Source organism: Homo sapiens, chromosome 20, assembly GCF_000001405.40.
Source record: "Homo sapiens chromosome 20, GRCh38.p14 Primary Assembly".
Taxonomy (NCBI): domain Eukaryota; kingdom Metazoa; phylum Chordata; class Mammalia; order Primates; family Hominidae; genus Homo; species Homo sapiens.
The window spans coordinates 1,744,734-1,749,301 of record NC_000020.11 but is presented as its reverse complement, the minus strand read 5'-3'; positions in this window follow the sequence as shown (position 1 = coordinate 1,749,301).

Sequence of the window (4,568 nt, the reverse complement as noted above, 5' to 3'; positions counted from 1 at the left end):
GCTAATATTTTCTCCCATTCTGTAAGTTGTCTGTTTACTCTCTTGATAGTCTGTTTTGCTGTGCAGAAGCTCTCTAATTTAATTAGGTCCCATTAGTCAATTTCTATTTTTGTTGCAGTTGCTTTTGGAGTCTTCATGATGAAATATTTACCAGGCCCTATATCCAGAATGGTATATTCTAGGTTATCTTCCAGGGTTTTTATAGTTTATAGTTTTGGGTTTTACATTTAAGTCTTTAATACATCTTAAGTTGATTTTTGTATATAATGTAAGGAAGAGGTCCAGTTTCAATCTTCTGCATATGGCCTGCCAATTACCCTTACTAGGCAGTTTTTATGTGAGGTTGAGTCAATCTAGTTATTAGATGAACAGTACCCTAAGTTTGGGTACTGATAATGCTGTGTTTATTTTCAGTGCACCCAGGCTTCTAATCCTCTGTTGCCTTGTGTTCTGGATGGACTTGTTTGCAGAAGATTTTTCTCAATAGGTGCTTTACCCTCTGCTTTAGGTCTTCCCTTTGCACACCTGCGCCTCAGAGTGGGTCCTTCTTTGTATCTCCCCTTTATCAGTAGTAGACTGCTGTTACTTATCACTCAGGACCTATTAACCCGGTTGGGGCGGGGGGTGTATGCACAGGGAGCTCTGTTGTTATGGTTCAGTCACAGTGTTAGTCACTATGGTCCAGGGTTCCAGAAGTGGAGACTTCTCAGTGGTCCTTCCCTTGGGCATCTCAGTAGATCTCTAATGGTTTAGGCCCAGGATATTTTTCTATCCTTTCCCCAGTGGTACAAAAGGGTTTTCTTTCTGTTCCTTTACCTGAGGAAAAGCAGATTTGCTGTTCTTTCCAGCTGCTTAATGCTTTGTTCCATATGGGAGACAGATGTGAAGGATCTGGGTGGGGCTTTGGGCTTTTTCCTACAGTAGCTGTTGCCCACGTCCCCTAGGTCTGCACCATGAAGGAACCTTTCTCTGAACTCTCATCCCGACCCAACCTTTCTGAGAATCCAGTAAAGTCTGTGGAGAAGAGCCTGCATGTACATGTAAATTTCTTTCATGTCCATGGATCTCTGGGGTTCTATATTCTCATGTTAGCCCACACATACTCACTTTAGCAATTTGGCAAAAAAAACTTTGAATTTTTCTTACCAGTTTATTTGGCGTCCAGCCTCTGCCCCAGGGAGGCATTTGCACATGGCTCATGTCTTCTTGGAGGCATCTGTTTTTCTTTAGATTTCAGATTAGCCAATTGCCCTGCAACTTCAGCTCTCTGATCAGTTCAAGAAAAGATTTTATTTTGTAGATTATACAACTATAAATTTTTGTTGTAAGAGTGGAGATGACACTCTTTCTGAATTTTATCATCCTAAGCAGAAGCTGAATTTCCCTGGATATATTTTCCATATAGAACTCATAGGATTTGCTAATCTGTAGAGTGAGAGAGAGAGAGAAGTCAGTGATGTCCCCAAGATTTTGGGCCTAAGAGACTGGAATAACACATTGCCGTCAAGTGTGTTAGAAAAAGCAGCACATGGAGCACCTTTGGATGGGGAGATCAGGCATTTAATTTTGAACATGTTGAGTTTTAGGGCTGTAACTGGAAACCCTATTGTCTCTCATAACATTTCCATTTCTGAGTGTGATGCTTAAAACCTCTGTTCTTCAAACCTCCACCTTTAGATAAATAGCATATTTTCTAAAGGAAAGGCTCCCTGCACTTCCCACAGGATTGTGAATGAATAATAAGGGTCTCCCCCATCTCAAGAGGGAAGAATAATGAGGACCTTCAGACACGCATGCATGAAGTTGGCACATATTTCTAAGGACAGCAGTCTGGTTTCTTGAATATTTCCTCAAGAAGATAAGTTGCTATGTGAATAATGAAATTTTGTTAGAAGCAAATATTTCTATTGTCTTTACAAGTTGAGAAGGTCAAGGACAGTTGAGCCCATGGCAAATACCTCCAGGACCCTAGACCACCTAAGCAGAACATAGGAAGAGGCTGCAAAAACAAGTCATGCCTACATTAGCAACCACCCACCTCCAACCTACATGAGAAGTTGAAGAGTAGAGAGAAGCTGTATTTTAAATGTATTTTAATAAAGCAAATATTAAAACAAGTATTTATAAGTATTTTTCTTTCCATACCAAAAGCCTGCTTTGACAGTAAAGCTTGTTGACACATAGTTCAAACACTTCCGTCCTGCCTTTTAAGAAATTTATTCTGCTTTTCAAGGAAGGTATGTTTCTATTTTATCTACAAACCTTGTAGACTGGCCTTATGGTTTATAGCAATATAAAAACACATAAAGTGATGCGTTTTTTAAATGAAATTATGTAACGACACATCATGTATATATTTTACCACTCTTACAAAGATAACTTACAGTAAATAATGTTAACAATGTTAGTTTTACTTTTAAAATACAGCATTTTTAAATCTCTAAGCTCAACTTGAAGATATCATAAGAACAGTAAATTCGATAAAAATGAGAAATTACATTCCCATTTCTTTAACAATTTGTAAATTCCAATTATCCTGAACATTTGATACCACTTACATAATTTGTTAATCACATTTTCTTAAACATTTGATAAGAGATTTAATATTTTGATCCAACTACCACAAAGGTAGACTTGTGTACTTGACAGATTTTTCTAAACACTTGACAACTCAGGATTCAAACATAAACACAAAATAGCATATCAAAAGTTAATCACTCAGTTGGAAAACATTTAGACCATAGGCTTTGATTCATTTCTTGAATAATTTTGTTATATCTTCCTCTTTTAGGCTGGCTGCAATGAGCTATAATTGCACTACTGCACTCCACGCTGGGTGACAGAGGAAGACCCTATCTCTGAAAATAAAAGAAGTATATATATATATAAAAGTATCTTCCTCTATATAATTTAATTCATTAAGCCATTTATTTAGATGGAAACTTGGCCCCCTGACATGTGCTATGAAACAAATAGAAACCTAGAAATTTAGTGCCTATTCAAATATTAAGACAGACACTGGTGTGGTGACTTTTGACTATCGCCTCATTGGGACGTTTTTTCTTTCTGATCAACTTAATGAAAGTATAATTTACTATAATTAAGTGTAGCCATTTTTACTGTAGAGTTCAATGATCTTTGATGACCGTGTACAACCATGTAACCACCACCCCCAATCAAAGTAAAGAACATTTTCTTACCAGAATAAATTTCCTCTCCCTTTGCAGTCATTCTCCCCAGCCCTAGGTCACCACTGATCCACCTTCTGTTACTGGAAGGTTAGTTTTCTTCCCTGATTTAGAATTTCATATGAATTAAATCAGATAGTATATACTCTTGTGTTTAGTTTCTTTACCTTAACATGTTTAGAGATACTTGCTGTTGCATATGTCTGTAGCTTTTTATTTTTATTGCTGAATAGGATTTCATTGTAATATACCACAATTGGTTTATGTATTTGCTGATGAATATTTGTGTTATTTCCAGTGTGGGATTATTATGAATAAAGTTGCTACAAAAAAAAAACAAAAGTACAGAGAAGCAGGGAAAGGAAAGATCTTTGGAAGGAGTCGTTAAGGGCTATAGCAAGTTTCCTCCCATCCTCAGGGTCAGGAGTGAGGGGGAAGCACCTGAAACCAAGCAAGAGAACTTTCAGACAACACTTCAGAGATCTTGACACTTATGCCAAGGGCTTGGGAGAGCAGAAGGGCTTGTACTAGAAGTGGTAGCTCCAATGGCCTAAGGCAGCAGAGCAAAAAGAGGCAGGGCTGCACCCAGGGCAGCTGCACTTCCTCCAGTGGTGGGACAATTAATCTGTAGAAGTCCCATCTCATTACACATGACTTTCCTATAAATATTGAGAGTCTCCATCAGCCAACACAGTTTTCTATGAAGTCTGGCCATATCGCAGTCACTTCAAGGAGTCTGATCCATGTCGTTACAGATATCCCAGTGAAGGGCTAAATAAAGCTTAGTTCATGATTTTTGCAAGTGAGAATGGAATAAAAGCTAATCAGATTCAAGGTTTGGTTATCCTTTGAACTCAACATTATGTTCTTGACAACTGATAAAAGCAAAAGAATTTAGACATACATCTTGCCCAAGCAGAACTAGTTTGGAAGGCTTTCAGGGAAAAGGCTGTTTAGAAGCATGAGACCAGAATGGGGAGCACTTGTGTGTACATTTCTACTCAAGTTTTTCCATTTTCCTTCTCTAACATCTTCTTTTGTCATAATCATTGTTTCTCTTTTTTTTTAATTTATTTTTATTTTTTATTTTTTTATTATACTTTAAGTTTTAGGGTACATGTGCACATTGTGCAGGTTAGTTACATATGTATACATGTGCCATGCTGGTGCGCTGCACCCACTAACTCGTCATCTAGCATTAGGTATATCTCCCAATGCTATCCCTCCCCCCTCCCCCGACCCCACCACAGTCCCCAGAGTGTGATATTCCCCTTCCTGTGTCCATGTGATCTCACTGTTCAATTCCCACCTATGAGTGAGAATATGCGGTGTTTGGTTTTTTGTTCTTGCGATAGTTTACTGAGAATGATGGTTTCCAAT